Below are 27,802 nucleotides of genomic sequence, written 5' to 3' on the forward strand. Positions count from 1 at the left end.
TGTGATTGAGCCACTGCACTCCAGCCTAGGCCATAGAGTGGGACCGTCTCTAAAAAAAAAAAAAGAAAAAAAAATATATATATACACCTAAAAATTAAATTAACAATAATACTAATGCCTTAAAATTACATATCTAGTCAGTGTTCAAATTTTTAATTGTCTTATAGATTTTATTTATTTGGATCAGGATACAAACAAGGTCCACACATTGTTATTGCTCAATAGGCCTTTTAAATGTCTTTTTTTTTTTTTTTTTTTTTTAAGACGGAGTGTCACTCTGTTGCCCAGGCTGGAGTGCAGTGGCATGATCTTGGCTAACTGCAGCCTCTGCCTCCCAGATTCAAGTGATTTTCCTGCCTCAGCCTCCCAAGTAGCTGGGATTACAGGCACACGCCACCACGTCCAGCTAATTTTTGCATTTTTAGTAGAGATGGGGTTTCACCATGTTGGCCAGGCTGATCTTGAACTCCTGATCTCAGGTGATTTGACCACCTCAACCTCCCAAAGTGCTGGGATTACAGGCATGAGCCACTGCACCCAGCCAAGGCCTAAATGTCCTTTAATCTCTAGGTACCTCCTCCATCTTTCTTTACCCCTCAAGTCCCTGGAATTTGTTTATTGAAGAAATCAAGTTGTCTTGTAGAATTTCCCATAGTGTGAATTTTGCCAATTGCATGCCTATATAGTTTCACATGTTTCACTTTTATTCTCTATTTCCTATAAATTGGTAATTCGATCTAGAGGCTTAATCACATTCAAGATCAATTTTTTTCTTTTATTTGCACATACATAACTATGTCTCATTTATTTTCAGTTGTTCTTATCTAAAAAGATATATTTAAAGCTATACATCTCCTCTAACTACCACTTCAATCTAATCTTATAATTTTGAGAAATAGTACTCTTATTGTTCATGTCTAAATAGGATATTTACTCTTTCATTTTCTCTCAAACCTAAAAGTTATTTAGAAGGTGCTTCTGTCTTTCCTTTTATTGTCAATTTCTAATGTATTGCATTATGTTCAACAAATGTATGTGATTTGTGTTTTTTGAAATTTGGCCTATACTTATTTGGTCTTTATTAATATTCTGTTTATATTTTTAAAAAGTGTATTTTCTCTTGGGTGTATAGTTCTATATATACCTATTAGATGAGCTTGTTACTTGTATTATTCAGATCCTCATGTTCTTTTTTTTTACTTAATATGTTATTTTCTCACAGTATGACCAAGAATTTGTCCATTTCTCCTTGTATTTCTTAGTTTATACATTTTATACTTTGGAGCTATGTTGCCAACTGCATAAAATGTCATGACATACGTCTTCTTAGAGGATTATATCTATTTTGTCTAATTAGTATTTCTTCACCTACTTTCTCTTTGTTAGCCCTTACCTGGTATGTTTTCCATCCCTATCTTACAGAAACTTTGTAGCTTGACTTCATTAATTAATTTATCCATTCATTTATACCCAATCTGATGGTCTCTCTTTTTAATTTTTTTTTCTTTTATTAAACTGCTTAGGGATGATGTTCTCTTTTAACAGGTAGTTTTACCCTCTGTATTCGTGTGTGTGTTTGGACTTATTTCTGTCATATCACTGACTATTAGTCTATGGTCCTACTCCTGCTCCTGTACCACAACCAGATACCTTGACCATTGTCCCAGGGCTTCCTTCTGTTTTCCGAATCCACTACCTTCAAGTCTGTAGTACTCCTGCAGTTGCTGCCAACTTTTTATATCAGTTCTCTCCTGCATATTTTTTCTTATGTTGGTCTGATTCATCTGCTTTCAGTCTCTCAAGGATTTTGTGGTTTCTGATCCACCAGTGATGGATTCACAGGAAGTTGGTGGCTTTCCCACTTGGCAGCCTATTCAAAGACTTTTAGGGGCTCTAAAGGAATTTTACTCAATTGCATTAGAGGGTTTTACATACACATTCTGGGTTGCCCATCTTAGCTTCAGAGCTTCAATTTCCTCATTTGTAAAATAGGATTTGAATATATTCTCCAATAGAGTTGTGGGAATTAAGTGAACTCATATTCGTAAAACATTTAATGCAATTCTTAGTAAATAGTAGTCTCTTCATAATTACCAATTCCATCATCTGTGTTTTTACTTGCTCTGAGTGTGGCTAATGAGGAATATAGGGGCTCTACTGATATTTATATACAATCTCAGCTGAACTAAGATCCCTATGAGCTTGCTAAGGTGCTTGTCAACATTTGAGGTAGATTTCGAGGGTGGAAGAAACTTTTAGGGATATGGCTTATACCTGTGGAATTAACTTTTCTTTGGCTACCAAACTGCCATTGTCAAAGGCAAGTCCTCCACTGTTAGAGGGAATCATTTTCTACTTATCAAGAACTAAGAAAGTTGCTAAACCCTCTGGAATATTTTCAGAAGGTGGATATGGCCCGGCAGAATATTGTTACATGTTGCATTACTGTGGATTGGGGGAAAGGAGATGTACCCAAGTGTCAGATTTGACTCGTGAGGCAAAGAAGTTTATGACAGAATCATAGTTGAGTCCTACATCAAGTGGCAGATGCCAAGAGTTGAAGGGAAGCTAGTGAGAAAACAGGAGATAGGTATATAGGAAGCAGACAGCAGATGGAAAGATTTTGGACATGTCAGATTTGGAGTACATATTAGAAAAATCCAGGAAGAAATCAGAAAGTCAGGACAAGAGCTTAGAAGCAACATCTGGGCTAGAGATAAATATTTGGAATCCATGGGTAGGAGAGTTGTGCAGAGAAAGACTGGACAATCAAAGAGCCACTAGTAAATATTAAATAATATTAGTAAATACTAAATATGAGCGAGGGGCACTCATATTTAAGGGCCAAGGGTAAATGAGTCAATAAGAGAAGCTGAAGAGACACTGGAGGATCATAGTATCTAGATAACCAAGGGTTTTTATAAACAAAAAGGACTGTCACCTGTGTCATATGCTTCAGTGTGATTACTGAGAAGAGGTAAATAGATTTGTCCGTTGAGGTTTTGGGTGATCTTTGTCAGAGCAGTGTCGGTCGAGTGGTAAGGAATTAGGACAGGTTGTATCAAACTAAGGGGTGAATTTAGCCACCATTCTAAATGTGGTGTTTATCCTTTCCATTAATTTCTTTATTCTTATATCCTTTAATGATATGTAGTGACATTTTGCATGTTTCTAAACTTAATGTAAGGGGTTTCATGGTATATGTGTCTTCTGAAACTGATTTTTTCCCTCAACATTATGTTCTTGAGATCAATTCATCTTGATAATATAGCTCTGTTCTAACAGGTTTTGTTAACTAGAGGCTTGAGTTTTCTTGGTATCAAATTGTATCAGTAAGAAGAAAGTTACCTCTGCCAATATTTATTCCTTTATTTAATTCTCTTATGTTTCTTAGCAATGAGAAAAATGTCAGCAGATATACCCTGGACTAGTAAAGTTGCTTTCCTCAGGGGAATCTAGTTTCTGATTTAAATCAGAATGGTTTTAATGTTTTATTATTTGGAATGATAATTGCTATTGGTGTTGGTAAATGGTATTTAATTCTCTTAGTTCTAAAGTCTTTTTTAAGTGCAAATTGTCTGTTTCATTCAGCAACTCTATTCATTAAAGTCCTGTTCTAAGTGTTCTGCATGTTCTTTTTGGCTTCTGGGTCCCTTTAGGTGTATTGTTATTTTCCTTGGTCTGCTCTCTGGGACTGAAGTCTAATGCTGGAGTATCTGAAGTCATAGCAGCCCAGTGAGTGGGAAAAGCACAGTGGTTTCTGCCCATGAGCTAGCAGGCGTATTGCCAGTCAGCTTGTCAAACCCATGAGGAGGCATCAGGAGGAGGCCTCTCTGTACTCTTGTTTCCTTGTGCTTTCTTAGTCTCAAGGTAGAGAGGACCCAACCCATCTCATTGTTTTCTTAGCATTTTCAGATGGGGAAACCTGGCACACTCACATAAGCAGTATTGACTTTCCCCCTAGGAGTTCAGAGTGGTATGGGCGAAGCCTTTGCCACAGACCATGTTTCCATCCTTGCACTTTGGCTCTGCTACACCACACTCTTAGCCCAGGGCTTTTCTCTGTTCCAGAGATGAAAAATTCTACATCACCCCTTACTCTCAGGTCTCAGACCCATCCTGCAACCTACTTTTTTGGCTGGCCCCAGCACCTACTTGGCTTAAGAACAGTCAATGAATCAGGTTTGGGAATAGAGGCGATTTGGAATATTTTCAACTTACTATCTTCCCAAAATTCATGTACCTTTTAAAAATAGATGCTACCAAACTCCCATGAAGGAATGATGAGATTATTCATTTTCCTAAATTCTCTACTAAGTATTATTACCAATTTGATAAGTGAAAAATGGCATGTCACTTTCATTTCTGTAGTTATTAGTGAAGTTGAACATACTTTTATATTTATAGGCCATTTATATTCCTGATTAAATTACCTATTCAAAGTATTTCTCTTTAGTCAGTGTGAGTGCTGTACATTTTCTGTTAAGTTTATCCCTACTTTTTGTTGTGATTTTGAATATAAAACATATTTAGGCCACTGCCAGATAGATTATAAATAGATTACAGATGGATAATAGGTAGATTATTCAATTGAAGTATAATATACATATTACACATAAATATATATTACATATACATATTATGCATATATGTATATTGCATATACATATATGTGTATTACATACATATTATGTAATATAATGATATCAAGTCATCATTATACAGTTCAACGAATGTTCACAATATGAAATACATACATGTAAATAGCACCCAGGTGAAGAAACAATATTCTAAGCATCCCAGAAGTGTCACTTGTGCTCTCTTCTAGTCACTGTCTTCCCCAAAGAGTAACCACTGTCCAGACTTTTAGTCCTAGATTAGTTTTGTAGTATGGACTCCTTCATGTCTGACTTCTTTCACTCAATGTAAGATCTCCAGAGAAAATACAAGATGCCTAGATAAATTTGAATTTCAGATAAATGACATCATTTTGTATGGAATATACCTATATTAGAAATGATTCATCATCTATCTGAAATTCAGATTTAACTGGATGTTCTATATTTTTTTTCTTTTACCAAATCTGATAACCCTAACTCAACATTATGCTTGTGAGGTTCATCCATAGTATTGCATGTAGTTGTAGTTTGTTTATTTTTCATTACAATATAGTATTCCACTGATGAATGTACCACAATTTATCCTCTTTACTGTTGGATGGGCATTTGGGTAATTTCCAGTTTGGAGTTGCTTTGAATAATGCTATGAATATTCTTGTACAGGTATTTTGGTGAATATACGTACCTAAATTCCTTTAATCCTGAATCCTCCTGTAACTACTGTCCTATCTCCTTCCCTTTAGACTCAAGCTTCTCAAAAAAGCTTACACTGCTTAGCAATACATGTGATTAACTCTTAGTTTCACTTCTTTGGTGAGACATAGCATACATACAGAACATTGCATAAGTTATGTCATGTATCTAGTTTAATAAATGATTATAAAGTAAGCATCTATATAACTACCACTCAGGTTGAAAACAAAACACTTCCAGCACCCATGCATACCCCTCCGAGATCATGATCCCCTTCCTTCTCTCTCCAGGTATCCATTCTTCTGACTTTTGTGATGTCAATTCCCTTGCCTTTTTTTTTTTTTTTTTTTGAGACAGGGTCTCGCTCTGTTGCCCAGGCTGAGTGCAGTGGCACAATCACAGCTCACTACAGCCTCAACCTCCTGGACTCAAGCAATCCTCCCTCCTTAGCCTCCTGAGTAGCTGGGACCACAGGCACATGCCACAATTCCCAGCTAATTTTTAATTTTTTCTAGAGTTGGGATCTCCCTATGTTGCCCAGGTTGGTCTTTAATTCCTGGGCTCAAGCAGTCCTCCTGCCTTAGCCTCCCAAAGTGTTGGAATTACAGGCGTAAGCCACCACACCTGGCCCCCCTTGCTTGCTTGCTTTTCTTTTCTTTCTTTCTTTCTTTTTTTTTTTTTTGAGATGGAGTCTCACTCCATTGCCCAGGCTGGAGTGCAGTGGCGTGATGTTGGGTCACTGCAACCTCTGCCTCCTGGGTTCAAGTGATTCTCCTGCCTCAGCCTCCCAAGTAGCTGGGTTTACAGGCATGTGCCACCACACCCAGCTAATTTTTCTATTTTTAGTAGCGATGGGGTTTCACCATGTTGACCAGGCTGGTCTTGAACTCCTGACCTCAGGTGATCTGCCTGCCTCGGCCTCCCAAAGTGCAGGGATTACCGGCATACACCACCATGCCCGGCCTCCCCTTGCTTTCTTGATAGCAATGCCACCTGTGTATATATCTCTAAATAGCATAATATAGTTTTGTCTACTTTTAAGCTTTATGTAAGTGGAATTATACTGTTTATAATCTGTTGTGCCTTCATTCTTCCATTTAAAATGATATTTGAGAGATTCATCTACTACATTACATACAGCTGTAGTTCATTTCTTTTCATTTTTGTATAGTAATCTATCATTTGTCTGTACCACTATTCTTTCTACTTTTGATGGATATTCCATTTTTTTCCAGTTTTTGGCTATTGTCAACAACGCCCATATGAACCTTCTTGTTTGTGTATCCCAATGCATATGTATAAGAATTTTCTAGGATATGTACCTAGAAGTAGTATCACTGGGTTATAGAGTACATATATACCAAACTATCTTTCAAAGTTTGTTTCAATGTATGAGAGTCCTAATTGCTCTATATCCACTGTTTTGTGAGAATTTTAAATTTTTGCCAATATAGTAGATGTGGAGTGATACTTTATTATGGTTTTAAGTTTCATTTCCTCAATTACTAATGGGGTTGATCACCTTTTCATATGTTTATCGACCATGTGTATTTTCAGTTAAATGCCTGTTCACGTCTTGCTCATTTTTCTATTAAATGTCTTTTTCCTACTGATTAAAAGTAATTCTTAATATACTATAGATTCTAGTTATTGGTCAGTTATATTTATTGCAAATCTCCCCACCCTGTGTGTTTTGCACATATCTTCTCCCTCCTCTCTGGCTTGTGTTTTTACTTTCTTTTTAATTTTGTGTCTTAAGAAATCCTTTAGGCCGGGTGTGGTGGCTCGCGCCTGTAATCCCAGCACTTTGGGAGGGCGAAGCAGGCGGATCACAAGGTCAGGAGATGGAGACCCTCCTGGCCAACACGGTGAAACCCCGTCTCTACTAAAAATACAAAAATTAGTCTGGCGTGGTGGCGGGCGCCTGTAGTCCCAGCTACTCGGGAGGCTGAGGCAGGAGAATCACTTGAACCCGGGAGGCAGAGGTTGCATTGAGCCGGGATTGCACCACTGCATTCCAGCCTGGGCAACAGGGCGGGACTCCGTCTCAAAAAAAAGAAAGAAAGAAAGAAATCCTTTAGTACCTCAAGATCTTAACGATATTTTTTCTATATTATCTAATAAAGGCTTTACAGTTTTGCCTTTCACACTTAAGCCTTTAATCCACCTAGAACTGTTTTTTTTATACATGATATGATGCAGGGTCCAGTTTTGTTTTTCCATATAAATACCCATTTGTCCTAGTACTGCTTATTAAAAAGTCCGTTCTTTCCCTACTGATAAGCAGTGCCATTTCTTTCATATATTAAGTGCCCAAATATCCCTTAGTCTGTTTCTGAGTATTCTATTAAATCAAAATTAAATCTGAGTGTTTTTCCCTGTAGAAGTCTTATACATCTTTTGTACTATTCTTACGTAACTTGTATTTTGACAGTATTGCAAGTGATATTTTTAAAACTTTTTATTGAAGTATAATGTGGAAATAGAAAAGTAGACCTACCATAAATGTATAGCTTGCTGCATTTTCACTAACTGAACAAACCCATGTAACCAACATAAATAGAATCTTTAAAAATTATATTTTCTAACTTTGTTTTTTGTGTGTGGAAAATAAAATGTGTTCTTTAATATTGATTTTGTATCCTGCAACCTCATTCACTCTCTCAGCAGTCTGTCTTTACCCACCTTGCCAAAACCACTATGTAAGAGATATCCAGGGATATCTTAATTACCAGAACTAATTTTTTTTCAGTGCCCATCTTACCCAACCTCTCTGTGGCATTAACACTTGAAAATACTCTTTTTGAAACTCTTAATTTGGCTTGTAAAGCCTCACTGTCCTAGTTCTTTTCCTAGCTCAAACTGTTACTTTTCAATCACTTTTGCTTTTTCTTCTTGCTGATCCATTAATCTAATTGCACCCAGCATGATCTCCCCAATTAGGAATGAGTACCCATTACCTGCTGTTAGTTCTTCCTTAGCACCATGGTAGAGATGCACCCACTTCCAGTCTGTTCCTGCCACCTCTACAAAGTCCATGCCCTCACCTGCACATCTGAACTGTAGCCTTCTAACTTTTTGACTCCTAGAAGGCATTCTATTCTAAATACCATAGCTAGGTTAATCTTAAAATACCCTTTGATCAAAGGGATACATGTACCGCTATGTTTATTGCAGCATTATTCACAATAGCAAAAATTTGGAATCAACCTAAGTGTTCAACAGATGAATGGATAAAGAAAATGTGGCATATATACACAGTGGAATACTATTGGGCCATAAAAAAGAATGAAATCCTGTCATTTGCAGCAACATAGATGGATATGGAGGCCATTATGTTAAGTGAAATAAGCCAGGCACAAAAAGACAAATATTGCATATTCTCATTCATATGTGGGAGCTAAAAACAAGGGTATAATGGACATAGAGAGTAGAATGATAGTTACCAGAGGCCAAGAAGGGTGTGGGAGTGGAGGCCGAGGGGAAGAAGAGAGAGGTTGATTAATGGGTATAAACATACAGTTAGATGGAATAAGTTCTAATGTTTGATAGCAGAGTAGGGTGATGAGTGAACAGCATTGTACTATACATTTCAAAATAACTAGAAGGGAGGAATTGAAATGTTCCCAACACATAGAAATTATAAGTGCTCAAGGTGATGGATGCCCTAAATACCCTGACTTGATCATTACAATTTCTATGCATGTAACAAAATATCACCTATATCCATAAATATGTACAAATATTGTGTATCAATAAAAATACATAAATAAATGAATTACATATGTAGCTTTAAAAATACCACCTTTTACATGGCATCTCACGTAAATAGAACTTTGAAGTAGCTGCTTACAAGATGAAGTCTAAAAAACATAGCCAAATCTTCCAGACCCTTTATACCCTGGTCCCAAGCCTACCTCCTCGACCATCTTTCACAGCTTCCCTACCCACACTCCATGCCAGCTGTCAGGTCCCCACAACATGCCCAGCTAATTCTGGTCTTTGCACACTTTCATCACAGCCATCTCCTCTTCTCCCAGAATGTAGTGTGTGCCCCCCAACACACAATCAAACCATCTACAACATAGCCACGTTTTAAGACTCAACTTAAGTGTTGGGGTTTTCGACATTGCCTTTTTTAATCATGTTATCTTCTAATGTATTTTTTTCTCCTCTGAGATTTCTCTAGTACCACAGGACTACATTGTCATTTTCTGGTGCCTCTGTATTTCTAGCTTCATCTCCCACCATTTTCCCACAAACTACAAGGTTCCAGCCATAGCAGTCTACTCATTGTTTTTCCAAACAGTTCTGTTGTTTCAGATCTCTGTGCCATTACTCCTGTGTGTTTTCTGCTGGATTTTCTCCCCACTGCCTCAGAAACATGGTTCTGTCAAGTACTCCTGCTCCTCCTGTTTTAACTTCTCCCTCTCAACTGACTTTCTGCCCTCAGCATAGAAGCATACTAATATTTCCCCAACTTAAAATAAACAAAATATTTCATCCTCCTCTTACTACTGCTCTCCTCCCTTTTCCTTTCATTCTACATTTTTGTCACCCCTCCATCCTCCTCCCATTGAAACTATCCCTTTTGAAGTCAACTCATGACCTGAACAACTGAATCCATTAGGCTCTTTTCAGTCCTCCACTGACTTGGTAATTCTGCAGGTCTGACATCCTGCCCCTTCTTCTGGACAATCTCATTCCTCTTGACTCTGTGATGCTACCCTCTCCTGATTTTCCTCTCACTTTTCTGAAGACTCTTTCACAGGCTTCTCCTCTTCCACTCACCCCTATCTGAAACATAACCCAGGCTTTGTCCTGGGATATTTTCTTTCTCTTCCCACTGTTCATGCCCATCACCCTGTCACCCTCCCCCCCCAAAGTGGTTTCACCCACTTAGATGCTTATAATTCCTACCTGTATGCTGCCAATCCTAAACCTCTATCTCGAGCCCCTATCTCATAAGTCATATTTAAGTATGTAAATATAGTTGACTGTGGGGAGTCTTATGGATGTCCCACATGTATCTCCCATTCCACATGTCCAAAACTGAGCCCCTCATTCCTCCCTGTTGCTGTTTTTTTTAATTTATTTTATTTATTTATTTATTTTTGAGACAGAGTCTCACTCTGTCGCCCAGGCTGAAGTGCAGTGGCGCAATCTCGGCTCATTGCAAGCTCTGCCTCCCGGGTTCACACCATTCTCCTGCCTCAGCCTCCTGAGTACCTGGGACTACAGGCGCCCACCACCACGCCCGGCTAATTTTTTGTATTTTTAGTAGAGATGGGGTTTCACCGTGTTAGCCAGGATGATCTCGATCTCCTGACCTCGTGATCCACCCACCTCGGCCTCCCAAAGTGCTGGGATTACAGGCGTGAGCCACCGTGACTGGCTCCCTGTTGCTTTAAATGGGTCCCTCCATCACCGGCAGTGAATAATATCAATATCCACCCAGTCACCCAAGACAGAAACCAGGGCATTGTTCTATGCTCTTTTTTTTTTTTTTTTAATCTGGCTCCTTTCCCCAATCTCATTAGTCACTGAGACCTGTCAGTCCTAACTTTTCATCTTTTACTTCACTCTCTTTTCTCTAACCCTACTACCACTATCTTATGTCAGGCCCTCATCATTTTTTTGATTATAGCAAGAACTGGTCTCCCTGTCTTCAGTTAGGTACCCTTTCAAGCCATTAACCAATCAGCAGCCAGAGTATTCTTCCTAAACTGTTTCTCGCTGCTAAGAGCTCTTCCAGAGCTCCTCAGTTTGCACCATGCTGCCTCCTTAAGGCCTTTTTGCTCTAGCCATCCCTCCCTGGCTAGCTTTTCCTCTCCCCACTCTTTCCTTGCAATCTGCTTAGCCATACTGAGTGTGCCTCGTACTCTCTCATCTATGTGTCTTTCTGCATTCTGTTCTCTCTGCGAAATTGCCTTCCCTCTATCTTCATGTGGCTCATTCAAATTTGCGCTCAGTCCCAACTTCATCCCCTTAAAGAAACTTTGTTTGACCATCTCACTTCCCCCAAAGCGGATTAGGTACCCCTCATCTAGTGCTTACCTGTCTTCCACACTAACACTGCCCCAGCCGTGTATTACAGTCATTTCCTTAACTACCTGACTCCCCCAGTAGACAGCAAGCCAATCAAAGGCAAGAACTGGGTCATATTCCTCTTTGAATCCCTAGGCCCCAGCATAGCACCTGACATGCCATAGGTCCTCACTGAATGCCTGAGTTCTTTCTCCCTTTTGGTCTGCCTGGCAACTCCTACTAATATTTCAATTCACAATTCATATGTTACCCACCTATGAAACCTCTGCTCTTGGTCAAGATCTTTCCATAAATTCATGCTCACATAGTGGGTTTTCTCTAACATTTATTGATAAAAATTTTCAAAGTTACTTCAAGTTGAAAGATTTTACAATACCCCTATACCTATAGTAAAATTAACATTTTACTATATTTGCTTTATCACAAATCTGTCCATCTATCCATTTGTCAGTCTATATCCATTTTAAAAACACATTTTTAAGTAAATTGCACAAATTAATATACTTCCTCCTAACTACTTCAGCTTACATATCATTAACTGGCATTTAATATTTATTTATTTATTTATTTATTTATTTATTTATTTATTTGAGACCGAGTCTTGCTTTGTCGCCCAGGCTGGAGTGCAGTGGCGCAATCTTGACTCACTGCAACCTCCACCTACCGGGTTCAGGCGATTCTCCTGCCTCCCAAGTAGCTGGGACTTCAGATGTGCACCATCACGCCTGGCTAATTTTTGTATTTTTAGTAGAGACAGGGTCTCACCATGTTGACCAGGCTGGTTTTGAACTCCTGACCTCAGGTGATCTGCCTCGGCCTCCCAGAGTCCTGGGATTACAGGCATGAGCCACCATACCCGACCAATATTTATATTCTTAATATAAGATGTACAATGAAAAGCACAAATTTTAAGTGTGTATTAGCTGGGTTTTGACAAATGCATTTACCCAAAAGCCTGTAACCCAAAGCCTCATCAAGATAAAGTTACCTCTTTGTCATAGTGTTCTTTCTTTTCTTGTAATTATTTAATTATCTGTTTCCCCCATTAGACTTTGAGTTCCTTAAAAGCAGAGACCATTTCTTATTTTCCTGCTACCTGTGCCCCGCACTGTGCCTTAACACAATAGGTATTCTATAACTGTTGTCTGGCTAGAAGAATAAATATGTACTTTATTCCTGGAATATTAGTATGCGACTTTATACATTCTCTTCTCTCACCTTTCACATCCAGAAGTTAGCTTAGTCATGTCATGTTTATGCCTTAAGTACTTCTGACTTCTACATCCTTCATTCCTTTTCCACTGCTGCAGTTCTCAGAGATCTGTCATCTGAACCATTAAAATAACCTTCTAAATGGTTTCTTTCTTTTTTTCAAAGTTTTAAACTTTTTATTTGCACATTTTAAAAATTATGCATTCTAGTAAATAAAATCATTTGAAAAAAAAAAGAATGGTAAAGGGTTTTTTAAACACCAATTTTTTACTCCCAAGTCCACCTTCCAAATGAGTAACAAAGTAATACTTATATTTATTTTTCTTGAGACAGGGTCTCACTCTGTCGCCTAGGCTGGAGTGCAGTGGTGTGATCACGGCTCACTGCAGCCTCAACCTCCTGGGCTGAAGCCATCCTCGCACCTCAGCCTCCCGAGTAACTGGAACTGCGAGTGTATGCCACTGTCCCCAGCAAATTTTTGTATTTTCTGTAGAGACAGGGTTTTGCAGTGTTGCCCAGGCTGGTCGTGAACTCCTGGACAAAGTAATACTTATAAAATCCGAAGTTGGTCATGTTTCCATCCTCTTTAAAACCTTTTATTTGTTTCCCATTGTCTACAACAGATTTTAATCTGCCTTCTTTTAAAAGCATAGGAGCTTTTTAAAAAATAAAACCTTACAACAAATTCTAACATTTGAAATAGATTTAAAAACATTTTAAATTCATGTAAATTTATAAGTTCAAATGTATAACATTAAGTCAATATTAAAGCCATAAGAATATTATAGGTATGTTTATGAGCACAATTTCTTTGTTTTTTTCTTAAGACAAAATCTCACTGTCACCCAAGCTGGAGTGCAGTGGCACAATCTTGGCTCACTGCAGCCTTGACCTCCCAGGTTCAAGTGATTCTCCCACCCCAGCTTCCTGAGTAGCTGGGACTACAGGTGCACACCACCACGCCCAGCTAATTTTTGTATTTTAGGTAGAGGTAGGATTTTGCCACGTTGCCCACACTGGTCTAGAACTCCTGGGCTCAAGCAATCCACCCGCTTCGGCCCCCCAAAGTGCTGGCATTACAGACATGAGCCACCATGCCTGGCCATTATTATTCTTTTTTTTAATTTCAATAGTTTCAGGGTATAGGTGGTTTTTGGTTACATAGATAAGTTCTTTAGTGGTGATTTCTGAGATTGTAGTGTGCCCGTCACCTGAGGAGTGTATACTGTACCCAATATGTAGTCTTTTTTCCCTCACCCCCATCAAACCTCCCCCTGGCCTGAGTCCCCAAAGTCCATTATGTCATTCTTATGGCTCTGTGTCCTTGTAGATTATCCAAGTTTTTCTACTCCATTAATAATAACTTAAATATAGATAGCCCTTTACAAATCACATTTGATTTTTATCCCAGTCCCATTAGGTAAGATCGGTATTTTCCCTGTTTTATGGATAAAAGAAAGTTTCAGTGGCTAGTTCAATATTATACACATTGGTGAATGGCAGAGGCAGAATTTTAACTAAGATTCTCTCTCTCCTAATGAAGTGCCTTTCCTACTCTATCCCCTATCGCTGGTTGCCTCTATATGTTTTGTGATCCATTTCAGTAACAATCATTCCCTTTCTCTTTGACCAGGCAGACCATCTATCATACCATACTTCTGTTTTTCACCCTAATTTACTCAGCCATTCTACCTGCTTTAGGCCCATACATATTTTCTTCACACGTAGAGCAGGGTTTCCCAGCTGTGGCACCGTTAATATTTTGGATCAAATAATTGTTTACGGGGAAGGAGGCTGTCCTATGCATTGTAGGATGTTTTACAACATCTTTGGCCTTTACCCGATGAATGCCAGTGGCACACATACCCCACTCCTAAGTTGTGACAACCAGAATGTCTCCAGATATTGCCAAATGTCCCCTATGAAGCAGAATTGCCCCTAGTTGAGAACCACTGCATATAGATCTACATTTCTCTCCTACCTCATTTTTCTTTTTTCTTACAAATATGCTTTTATATTCCAGCTGTAAAACCCATTGTAATGTGCCTCCATGATAGCTGTGAAGTTATATTTCTCTTTTAAAGTTAAAATCTCTCCTTTATTATTTATTTGTTGCCATAGTGAACAAACACCCAAAGGTATTGAGTAGCATTTTTGACTCTCCTTACTTGATCTGTTCTCATTCTTACAGAGAAAACTACTTCATTTTTCTTCATAGCTGTCCTTAATCAGAACTTTTAAGTCTCTGCAAATATGTTCTTCCCCATCTTTGTGATATATATTCCATCTTTGGGAATCATTTATCATTTTAATGTCTTAACAGGAAATCAAATCCTGTTTTGTGGTGATTTATTTCAAGAGAAACATTCATGTCTCTTATCTCCTTTCTATTCTTGAGCCCCAACTCTCATTTGAAGAAGAAGAAAAAAAATGCCCACTTTATCCTTAAGTCTATGGTTCTTGCTTGGATCATTGCCATAGATTCTTCTCAGGGTTTGTCTGGAATTTTGTTTTGCTCCTATATGAAACTATAGATGGAAGTTTTGCTCAGCAGCTTTGAAAAACCTCAGCAGTCTCTCCTTTACATCTAGTTGAGATATGGGCCAATAAAATAGCACAATGTTTTGTTTGGCTAAAAAGAGAAGGAAAAGACAGGAATGGACTAACATAGGATTTAGTACAGGTATTAGCAGGCAGGTTTGATAAATCTCAGCAGGCTTTCCTTCATATCCTAGAGAGGATAAGCAGTACCCATTCCAGTTGGTAATAAGAGGAAAACAAAGGGATAATTGAGAAAATTATTTTTGTTTTAGATTAGGGAGATTTGAGCGTGGGTGTAGGCTGAAAAGAAGGAAATAGTGAAGGAAAAAAATAAGTGGAAGATCTAAGAGAGAGGGAGAAGCTAAAGGATCAGGGTCCCAGAGGAAATGGAAGGAATAGAAACAGAGGCAGAAGGCAGGACCTTGAAAACAAAGGCAGCTATTTCCTCTGAAACAAGGGGAAGGATGAAGGAATAAGTAATAGCAAAAGAATGAATGTGAGGTGAGGAGAGGGGAGGTTGGGGAGCCCTTGTGGATAACTTTCATCTCTATAAAGTATTTGGTGAAATCATCTACCAATAGAAAGTGAAGATAGGTTTATATTCTTAAAAATGATGAGTCTGTATAATAGCTGCCATGGTGAATTAGATTAGTTAGATTAGAAGGTTAGTAAAGTAGGAATGAGGAAGAAAAGATGATCAATTGACCAAGGGTTCAGCTAAGGTTAGGTAGCATGTTTATAGTGGATCTCATCTGTTTGGTTATGCTGTTTCTTCAGTATTGTAGCCTACAAATAAACATACACGCACACAGTTGGTTTAACCTATGGTTGAGAATTGACATGGTGAGAATGGTAGAAGATCATATGTCCAGTGAGTTCTTAGGAAAACGTAATTGAAATTTTCAACCATAGGGTTCAGAGTAAGAGTTGAAGGTCCAGAAGAGGCTGATCTACTGACAGTATTAGAAAGTGTCAGTAAATTGGTAGTCCAAAAAAAGGGTGAAGAACAGGATCCAAAGAAATGGAAGGATAGTAGGATGCAGTCAGGAATTTCGAGTTCAGGATCTCATAAATATAATTGTTTCATGTTCAAAAGATGGCTATATAAAAGGTAGAGTAGAGCTAACAATAATGATACCATTTGTGCTGCTATAACAAAATACCTTAGACTGGGTAATTTAGAAACAATATAAATTTATTTCTTACAGTTCTGGAGACTGAGAAGTCCAGGGTCATGGTGCCAGTAGAATCAATGACTGGTGAGGACAGACATCCTGGCAGCCTCACATGGCAGATGGGGAAAAGGGATAAACGGTGTGTCCCCACATGGCAGAAGGGGCAGAAGGGCAAAAGCAACTAGCTAATTCTCTCCAGTCCTCTTATCAGGCACCAATCCCATCCATGAAGGTAGACATTTCATGGCCTAATGATCTCCTAAACGTCCCACCTCCTAATACTATTGCATTGGGGGCTAAGTTTCAAACGTGAATTTTGGAGGAGACGCAAACATTTAAACTATAGCATGATTTATTTATCATTTAACTTTGCTTCATATATAGTATCTTAATTAATTCCCTACCACAACCCAATAAGGTAGGTAGATTTGCCTCATTTTATAAAGGAACTTAACCCAAGATCATATAACTAGTCAGTGACAGAGCCAGGATTGTAAGCTGTCTATTTTAACACCAACTATGCACTTAACCATTATACTATATAGCTTTTCCACAGTAAGCCTAATAATGGGAAGTTAATTGCTTCAGCAGAACTTCAGAGGTTATTACAGTGTTTAAGAAGTAAACCTCAGAATTAACCAAAGTGGAAAATAATCTTTATCTTTTTTAAAGCTACAGTAGGAAAGGTATTTCACTATGGTATAATGAAAAGAGCATAGGACTTGACTAAAATCTTGAGATAGAATCTCAGGCCTACCATTTACTAGCTGTTTGACCTTAGGCAGGTCATTTAACCTCTGAGCTTCTTTCTTTATCTGTAAAATGAGAATGATAATAAAAATAATGATGATGATATGGTAAAAAAAAACCTGTTCATCCAATTTCACAGCATTAATTTAAAGATTATCATAATGGATATAAAAAGTAAATAACTATACAGATGGTTGTCATGGTGATAGTTATTTATCTATCTGCTTTGTTTCCATGGGAAAGGGCAAGAAGTGCCAGTGGACTCAATCATACATATCCAACATTTGGACCTTTGTCCTTTACTTAAAGAGGCACTCCAAAAAGTGAACAAGATTAAGAAGTTTTCTCAAGATTGATGACTCGATATTTTTATGGGGTCTTTATTTCTTTTCTCTTTCTCAGAAGAAACATAGGTATATGTTGGATGCATTACCAAGCAATTTAAATTTCATTTCCTGCTATTAGGTATTAATATTAACCGAGGCCTCCTATGCTTGGGAAATGTAATCAGTGCTCTTGGAGATGACAAAAAGGGTGGCTTTGTGCCCTACAGAGATTCCAAGTTGACTCGACTGCTTCAAGGTAAGCCCAAAGTGCCTCCAAAAATAAGAGAGTAACTCAAAATGATAGTGCTGAGACAGCAAAGATGAAATAGGTAAAAAGCCAGCTATTTGGACTATGACATACACAGTTGTCTAATTGATAAATACGAGAGAGTGCTGTTGGCAAGCAGGTTTCTAAGATAATGGAAAAATATCTTCATATATGACATTGAGAGCCAAGAAATCTGTAGTGCACCAACTGTACTTTGTACTTTACACCTGAAAGTGAATTTGGTTACTGTTTCTTTAATTATTAGTGCGGCTAAGCAGAATTCCCTGGAGAGTTAAAATCCACCTAGAGGGGGCATCCTAAGAATGTTTAATTCCACTAGTGGCTCCTAACTTACTTAGGCCAGGCCCCAGTTGTTTTAACCTGATTAACTGCTGAAATCACAATCCCTTTTGAGAAAGGGGACACATGCAATAGGATTTAAATGTATATTACATCAGAAATCTTAGATATGTATACATTTCCTATTATTTCAATATAAAAAACACTAAGAACTTTTTCTTATAGCTCTGAATTTTAAGTCACCAACCCGAATGGACGGCTTTGCTTATATCCTACTTGTTTGATTTCATTTCCTTTCGTTATTCTTTATTGTTCTTTTTCAGATTCTCTAGGAGGTAATAGCCATACTCTTATGATAGCCTGTGTGAGTCCTGCTGACTCCAATCTAGAGGAAACATTAAATACCCTTCGCTATGCTGACAGAGCAAGAAAAATCAAGAACAAACCTATTGTTAATATTGATCCCCAGACAGCTGAACTTAATCATCTAAAGCAACAGGTATAAGGGACTTAAAGTTTGATGGGAAAAATTACAAGTATGTGAGTGGAATGATAGAGCTTCTGTTTTCAGTTTCTTCTTTATCAGAAGTTTAGAGATGTTGGTTAGGCATTATGTTTGTTCGGGGACCTCTTAAAATAACTCCTATTAACGTGTTTGCTGTCCATTTAAGATTGGGGGTAGCATTGGAAAGTTCACTGATGAAGAAGTGAGCAGTGAGAGATGAGATGAGAGGTGTAGACAGGGGCTAAATTCTGAAGTTCCTTATATGACTTGTTAAAGAATTTGGAATTCAACCTGAAAGCTATGAAGAGCCATTGAAGAGTTTTAAGTAGGAGGGTGATATGATAAAATGTGTGTTTTGGCGAGATCATTCTAGCAGGTATAGAGAAAATAGATTAGAAGTGGGCATGACTAGAAGAAGGAAAATAAATCACTGCACAAAACAAAGAGAGTTCTAGAGAGAAGAAACATAGGTAGCAAAGTACAGTTGATTCTCGAACAATAGGAGTTTGGTCCAACAAAACACAGATCAAAAATACAGTATTTGCAGGATGAGAAACCCATGTGTAGACTTTTTATACATGTGGATTCTGCAGGGCTGACCGCAGGACTGGACTATGCATCTACATTTTTGTATACGCACAGGGTCCTGGAACCAATCCCCTGCATATACATAGGAACAGCTGTATAGTGGCCAGGAGCACTGACACTGCAATTAGCCCACCCATGTTCAAATCTTAGCTCTATAACTCACTGGCTATGTACCTTGGGCAAGTTCTCTGTGCCTTGGTATCCCTATCTGTACAGTAGAAATAATAATAATACCTTCTTCTTAGGGTTTTTGTGAGGGTTAAATGAGTTAATACATGTAAAGCACTTAGAACAGTACTTGGCTTATAGCAAGTGTTGGAAGGGTCTGAGATAGGACAGAAGTATAGTGCATTTGAAGAACTCAAAGAATGCCAGTGTGGCTAGAGTGTAGAAAGCAAGGAAAGAGTACAGGCTTACCTTAGGGATGTTGCAGGCTTGGTTCCAGACCACCACAGTAAAGCAAATATCGCAATAAAGTGAGTCACACAATTTTTTTTGTTTTCCAGTGCATAGAAAGTTATATTTACACTATACTGTAGTATATTAAATGTGCAATACCATTATGTCTTAAAACAATGTACATACCTTAATTTAAAAATACTTTATTGCTAAAAAAAAATGTTGACACAGAGACATGAAATGAGCATATGATGTTGGAAAAATGGTGCCAATAGCCTTGCTTAATGCAGGGTTGCCACAGATCTTCAATTTGTAAAAAAAAAACCACAGTATCTGTGAGGTGCAGTAAAGTGAAGCACAATAAACTGAGATGTGCCTGTATTCCAGGATGAGGCTAGAGGGAAAGCAGAGGACTGATCCAGGACTCATGGACAATATTAAAAAGGATTTTAAGCCAGGTAGTAACTTGATAATTTACATTTTTAAACAATGGCCTGGCTGCTGTATAGAAATGGATTATAGTAGAGCAAGAGTAGATTCATGGAGACCATTTAAGAAGGTACTGCAGTAGTCTAAGCGAGAGATAATGATGGCTTGGACTTAGAGTGCTGGCAGTGGTGATAGAAAGAAGTAACCAATGAATTAGATAAAGGAATGACACCCAGATTTCTGGCATGTGGAACTGGATATTCACTGACCTGGGTTACACTGGAAAAGGACCAGGTTTGAGGATACCAGACAACTAAGTGGAAATATCAGGTAGATAGTTGAATATAAAAGTATAAAGTTCAGAAAGATCTGTGCTTGAGGTAAATTTGGAAGTCACCAGTTTCAGGTAATAGAAACCAGAGGCAGAGATGAGACATTCAGAAGAGAATATAAGGAGAATGTAAGTAAGAAAACTCCTACTGAGCTTTGGGGGACTTTACCATTTAAAGGACAAGTGGAGCAAAGATGAACCAAGAAAGAGACTTAGAAGATCAGTTAGAAGAATAGAAGGAAAAGCAGGAAAATGTGTCTTGTAAGCCAAATGCTACCAGTCAGTCAGTCAAGTAAAATGAAGACTGGAAAATGCTCACTGGATTTGGTGACATGCAGCTCGTTTGTAACTTGGGCAAGTTATTTCATTGGAACAATGTAGGCAGTCATATTGGAGTAAGTTGAGGAGCAACCGAGTGGCGAGCGAAAGGAAATGGAGGCAATTGGTGTATTATTCTCTCAAACTTTGTGAAAAAAGAGAAAAATAGGGCAAGAGAGATAGGAAGTGGGGTTGGGGAGGATGCTTTTGTTTTTAAGATGGGAGAGACTTGAACATATTTTAATCTGAATAGGAAGGATCTTATAGAAAGGGAGAAATTGAAAATATAGAAGAGAGAAGGGATAACAGTGTAAGATTCATAAGATGGCAAGAAGAGTGGGAATCCAAAGCACATGCAAGGAGACCAGTCTTGGGAGGCAGAACAGCTCCCCTTGTGTCATAGGAGGGAATGGGAGAGGATGCTTACACTTGCGCTCTGGTTTAAGATCCATCTCCATGAAGCCTCCCTTTGACTATTTAGGTTTTTGTTAATTTGCTTATTCTGTCTTGTATTATTTCCTACTATTTTAGACTTCAGGCTTATCTTTCTTAAGTAGATTGTAAACTTGAGAGTAGGGGTCATATTTTATTTTTATATGTCCGTACGTTGTCTAGCCCAGTGCTGAGACTGATTTTCAAAAATAGGTACTCAAGGCCAGGAGCAGTGGCTTACATGTGTAAGCCCCGCACTTTGGGAGGACGAGGTAGGTGGATCAATTGAGGTCAGCAATTCAAGACCAGGCTGGCCAACATGGTGAAACCCTGTCTCTACAAAAAATACAAAAATTAGCTGGGTGTGTTGGCGGGCGCCTGTAGTCCCAGCTACTTGGGAGGCTGAGGCAGGAGAATCACTTGAACCTGGGAGGCAGAAGTGCCACTGCACTCCACCCTGGGCGACAGAGCAAGACTCTGTCTCCAAAAAAAAAAAAAAGAAAAGAAAAGAAAAAAGAAAAATAGGTGCTCAGTAAAAACTCATTAAGATGTAGATAAAATGGACAACTCATCTTCTACTTAATAGTTGTTCATGTAATGCTGATTTTCCTGTTATCATTGGATCATCAACTATGTATGATGCCTTTGGTAGTATCTAAGGTATGCTATCTGCCTTAGATTTCATAGACATTTAGTAAAATTACTTTATTGCTAATTGTGGTAATTTTACTGCCAAGGGTTAAGTAGCATTTGGTTGGTGACTAGCTGATTATTTTTCTTTGCTTCTCCCAGGTACAACAGCTACAAGTCTTGTTGCTACAGGCCCATGGAGGTACCCTGCCTGGATCTATAACGTAAGAGTCATAGATTAATTTGAATTGTGTATTCTAATAGAGGCTATTTTTCCTAATAATAGTTTTTCCCTGGTTTCTGCTAGCACTTGGTGTCACGGTAAGGATCTTACCAATTTTGCTGACTATTTAGGACTTAGTTATGTTTGAAGCAGCCTAATGTAACAGAAAGAGCATGGGTTCTGGCCTCAGAAATTTATTAATTGGAATTCTATTGTGAGGAAGAGCTGTCTCTTCTTCTCCATTTGTTTATTTGACATTTAGTTATATTTGTATAGATTCATGGATATTTATTTTATTCTATGGTTTAACATCCAGTACTATTATTTGTTTTATTGCTCAAATTGTTCCTGCTTTGTCCATTAGGAGCTCCTTCAGGTTGGCTCTTCTCAAGTTTTTGATCATTTCTACAAGAGGTTCCAAACTCATCTTGTATTTTCCCTACCCCAGTTCTGGAATCAACCATGTCTCCAAGGAACCCTAGTTCCTTTCTTTTTTTGTTGATGGAAAATTGTGTTTAGAAGCCAAGATTTGGGTACTAGCGCCAGCTGTGTTTATTGTTACCAGAGTTTTACTGCTTCTAAGCACTCTGAGCAGGTAGAGCTCAGAAATATCTACCTGTGTAGTAACGTACACATACACTTTCATCTATATTTTTGTATATATCTATCTGCATATATATTACAAACCATGAGTTTATACTGACACCTCTGATACCATTCCAATGTGACAGGGTTCATTTTGGCTTTCCCCCTTTCCTTATTTGTAACTTCTTTCTCCAACAGTAAGAAACCCAGCTCTCATCTGCAATCTATTTATTTACTTGCTCAGTTCTACTATACACATAAAGTAGTTTCAGAATTGTTAGCCTATATCCCTGTGGGAAACACTTTCTATGAAATAGATTACAGCATTTATGTACAGTTCTTTTTATCTTTAGGCATAGAGTATCTAAGCAAGATAATGTTTCCCACAGTTACTGTTTGTATTCCCTTTTAGGCACTCTCCCCCTAAATCTTAGTTACTTTTGTTTGTTTATATTTTAGGTATGTGAAACATAATGGATCTAAGAGTCAGAGTTACACAAAAAGATATACTCAGAGCAGAGAAATGCAAATTAAAACCCCAATGAGATATCACCTCATGCCCATTAGGATGGCTACTGTTAAATAAATAAATAGATAAATAACTGAAAATAAAAGGTGTTGGCAAGGATGTGAAGATATAGAGAAATTGGAACCCTTGTACACTGTTGGTGAGATTGTAAAATGATGTAACTACTGTGGAAAACAGCATGGAGGTTCCTAAAAAAATTAAAACTAGACTTACCATATGATCCAGCAATCCCACTTCTGTTTATATATCCAAAATAATTAAAGCAAGGTCTCAAAGAGATGTCTTCACGACCATGTTCATAGTGGCACTATTCACTATAGTTAAGAGGTAGAATAACCCAAATGTCTATCAACGTATGACCTGATAAACAAAATGTGGTATATACATGCAACAGAATATCATTCAGCCTTAAAAAGGAAGGTAATCCTGTCACTTGCTACAACATGGGTGGACATTGAAGATATGCTAAGTGAACTAAGCCAGTCACAAAAAGACAAATACTGTATGATTCCACTTATGTGAGGTATCTAATGTAGTCAAATTCATAGAAACAAAGTAGAATGGTGGTTGCCGGGGACTGGGGGATAGGTGGGAAAGGGAAGTTGTTTAATGGGTATAGAATTTTAGTTTTGCAAAATGAAAACATTCTGGAGATCTGTTTCACAGCAAGCAATGTGAATATACTTAACACTAGTGAACAACACACTTAAAGGTGATTAAGATGGTAAGTTTTATGTTTATATGTTTCCCATGATTTTCCAATTTGTATTTGTATAAATTTATGGGATATAAGTACAATTTTATTATATGGATGTGTTGTGTAGTGGTGAAGTCTGGGCTTTTAGTATATCCATCACCTGAATAATGTACATTGTAACAACTTAGAAAGTTAAATACTGGATGTTCTCACTTACAAGTGGGAGCCAAATAATGTGTTCACATGGACCTAGAGTGTGGAACAATTGACATTGGCAACTAGGAAGCATAGGAAGTTTGAGGGGAGTGGGTGGTGAGAAACTACTTAATGCATACATGTACCACAATTTTTTTCAAAAAGGAAAAAGGATATACTCAGTGAGGTAAATGTCATTCCCTCTCCATCCCTGCAACTCTGTTCCCATTCCTATTTCCCACCCTTATTTCTACCTCTTTTCTACCATTATTCTCGCTACGCCTGTATTTAACCCATCTCTTTAGTTTCTGGTTTAGCCTTCTTGTATTTCTTTTGTACAAATGAACAGATACCTGTGTATTTTATTATATCACCTTTTTTTCTCATATGAATGGTTGGGTACTGTATGTAATGATTGTATACTCTTTGTAGCTTTGCTTTGTTCAGTATTTCCTGGAAATCATTTCTTACCAGTTCAGAGAAGTCTTCCGCATTCTTTTTTGCAGGTGCATAGTACTTTTATTGTGGACATGTGCCATACATATCAATTCACCCCCCTTCCTATGTATGCACATTTAAGTTGTTTCCAATGTTTTGCAATTAAAAACATGCTGCAGTGAATAACCTGTGTGTATATATTTTTGTATTGTCAGAGGTTTATCTTAAGGGTAAATTTCTAGAAGTGGGATTGCTGGGACAAAAGGTAAGTACATTTCTACCTTTATAAGGTATTGCCATATTTGCCTCCAGAAGAGATGTACCAGTTTGCATTCCTACCAGCAGTGTATGAGAAAGCCTGTTTCCCCACAGCCTCACTAATGGAATGTATTGTCATACTTTTTCAATTTTTGGCAGTCTGATAGGTGAGAAATGCTATCTCAGTGTTGTTTTACTTTGTATTTCTCGTATTATGGGTGAATTTGAGCATTTTTTCATATGTTTAAGGGCCACTTTTATCCCTTTTGCTGGTGAATTGTCCATGTCTTTTCTCATTTTTCTATTGGGTTTTTTGGTCCTTTGGCCTCTTTTTAAAAATAAATTGTGGTAAAATATACATAACATAAAATTTACCATTTTAATTATTTTAAGTGTACAATTCAATGGCTTTAAATTCATTCACAATGTTGTGCAGCCATCACCACCATCCACCTCCAAAATTTTTTTCATCTTGCAGAACTGAAACTCTATACCCACTAAACAATAACTCCTCATTTCCTCTCTCCTCAGTCCCTGGCAACCACTATTCTGCTTTCAGTATGAATTTGACTACTCTAGGTACCTCATATGAATGGAATCATACAGTATTTGTCTTTTCATGACTGACTTGTTTCATTTAGCATAATGTCTTCAAGGTTCATCCATGTTGTAGCATGTGTCACAATTTCCTTTGATTTTAAGATTGAATAATATTTCATTGTATTTTGTGTATCCATTCATCCATTGATGGACACTTGGACTGCTTCCATCTTTTGGCTATTGTGAATGATGCTGCTATAAGCATGGGTGTACAGCTAGGTGTGGTGGTGCATGCCGAAGTCCCAGCAACTCAGTAGGATGAGGCAGGAGGATTGCTTGAACCTAGGAGTTCAAGGCTGTAGTGTGCTAAAATAGCACCTGTGAATAGCCACTGCGCTTCAGCCTGTGCAACATAGTAATATTCCGTCTCTTTAAAAACAAACAAACAAAAAAACATGGGCCAGGCGTGGTGGCTCATGCCTGTAATCCTAGCACTTTGGGAAGCAAAGGTGGGCAGATTGCTTGAGCCCAGGAGTTTAAGACTAGCCTGGGCAACATGGCGAAACCCTGTCTCTACAAAAAATACAAAATTAGCTAGGTATGATGGTGTGCACCTGTAGTCCCAGCTACTTGGGAGGCTGAGTTGGGAGGATCACCTGAGCCCAGGGAAGTTGAGGCTACAGTGAGCTATGATCATACCACGCACTCTAGTCTAGGCAACAGAGTGAGACCCTGTCTCAAAACAAACAAACAAACAAAAAACACACACAAAACAAGCAACAACAACAAAAAAACTATGGATGTACAAATGTCTGATCATATCCCTGCTTTCAATTCATTTGGGTATATACCTAGAAGTAAATAGCTAGATCATATGGTAGTTCTGTTTTTAATTTTTAAATCAAACCACCATACTGTTTTCCATAGTGGCTGTACCATTTTACATCTCCACCAGCCATGCACAAAAGTTCCAGTTTTTCCACACCCTCACCAATGTATTTTTTTTATAATAGCAACCCTAAGTTTGGCCCTTATTTTTGACAATTCTTTATATATTCGTGATATTAGCCCTTTGTCTGTGGTGTGTGTTACAGATAATTTCTCTGAATTTATCAGTTGTCTTTTACTTTGTTTATGATTTTTTTGTCATATAAAATGTTATGATTTTTATGTAGTAAAGCTTATTAATTTTTTTATTGCCTCTGGATTTTTTCAGCAGCTTTATTGAGCTAAAATTTACGTACCATAAAATTCAGTCATTTTATGTGTACCATTCAATGATTTTTAGTAAATTTACAGAGTTGTACAACTATCACCACAATTCAGGTTTAGAACATGTCCATCACCCCAAAAAGTTTCCTCATGCCCATTTGCCATCACTCTCATTCCCACTCCCAGACCAAGGCAACCACTAATCTCTTTTCTGCCTTTATAGATTTGCCTATTATAGACATTTCGTATACATGGAATCATAGAGGATGTAGTCTTTTTTTGTCTGGCTTCTTTCACTTATGTTTTGTGGTTCATCCATGTTATAGCACGTGTTAGCACTTCCCTTTCTTGCGTAATAGTACTCCATTGTCTAGATAGGCCGTATTTGTCCATCCATTTACCAGTTGATGGAGGTTTGGGTTGTTTCCACTTTTTGGCTTTCATAAATACTGCTGCTGCAAACATTCACTTGCAAGTTTTTATATGGACATGGGTTTTCATGGGGTAAATGCCTGGGTATAGAATTGGTGGGTCATATGTTTAACTTTTTACGAAACTGCCAAACTGTTTTCCAAAGTGGCTATATCATTTACATTCTCCCCATGCCTCTGGATTCATAGTTAGAAAGCCTTTCTCCACACCAGGGTTAAAAGAGGAATTCAGCCGGGCGCGGTGGCTCATGCCTGTAACCCCAGCACTTTGGGAGGCCGAGGTGGGCGGATCACAAGGTCAGGAGATCAAGACAATCCTGCCTAACACGGTGAAACCTCGTCTCTACTAAAAATAGAAAAAATTAGCTGGGTGTGGTGGCGGGCATCTGTAGTCCCAGCTACTTGGGAGGCTGAGGCAGGAGAATGGCATGAACCTGGGAGGCGGAGCTTGCAGCGAGCCAAGACCACGCCACTGCACTCCAGCCTGGGTGACAGAGCGAGACTCCATCTCAAAAAAAAAAAAAAAAAGAAAAAGAGGAATTCACCCATGTTTTCTTCTAGTAATAATGTCGTTTTATGTTTTACATTTCATTTTGGCATTTGGTATTTATTCTTATGTATGATGTGAGCATACTTTCAATATTTTTGTTTTCAATTATTCATTTTTTTCTGATTATAAAAGTGACTAATTGCTTCTAGTAGAACATTTAGAGAAGTATAGAGAATAAAACTTAAAGTTGCTATAATTTCACCACCCAGAGATGACTACCTCTTTCTTCCTAATTTTCCCCCTTTAGATAATTTAGTCTGGGTTTCCTGATTACATTTTATTCTCACTATACTCATTTAGAAGCAATTGACCCATCTTCCTTTCCTTTCAGTTTAGCACAAAAAGTTCCAGACTTCTGATTGTCTAGAATGTGCTAAAGGAAATAGTTTCAGCTGCAAAAGTAATAGATTCTAAGAAACAGTTGATGAATCAAACAATTAAACTTAATTGTTCAATATTTTACAGAGAAATAAAGATGCTCCTTTTCACAAGAATGTATATTTATATTTTTAGAGACATTTTATAAGGCTTGTTAACAAAAAGTACATTTTACATATATGAATGTTTTCACTTTTTGTCC

The 27,802-nt window shown here is 38.0% G+C and overlaps 1 protein-coding gene across 1 annotated transcript in view; it reads left to right on the forward strand.

The window, feature by feature from the left end:
• KIF4A (kinesin family member 4A) overlaps positions 1-27,802 on the forward strand; it is a 130,783-nt gene that overhangs the window by 21,798 nt on the left and 81,183 nt on the right. The window contains exons 8-10 of the mRNA NM_012310.5: positions 17,504-17,620; positions 18,256-18,431; positions 21,727-21,788. Of these exons, the coding sequence (NP_036442.3) occupies positions 17,504-17,620; positions 18,256-18,431; positions 21,727-21,788 (355 nt within the window). The remainder of the gene's footprint in view (positions 1-17,503; positions 17,621-18,255; positions 18,432-21,726; positions 21,789-27,802) is intronic.

Source organism: Homo sapiens, chromosome X, assembly GCF_000001405.40.
Source record: "Homo sapiens chromosome X, GRCh38.p14 Primary Assembly".
Classification (NCBI taxonomy): domain Eukaryota; kingdom Metazoa; phylum Chordata; class Mammalia; order Primates; family Hominidae; genus Homo; species Homo sapiens.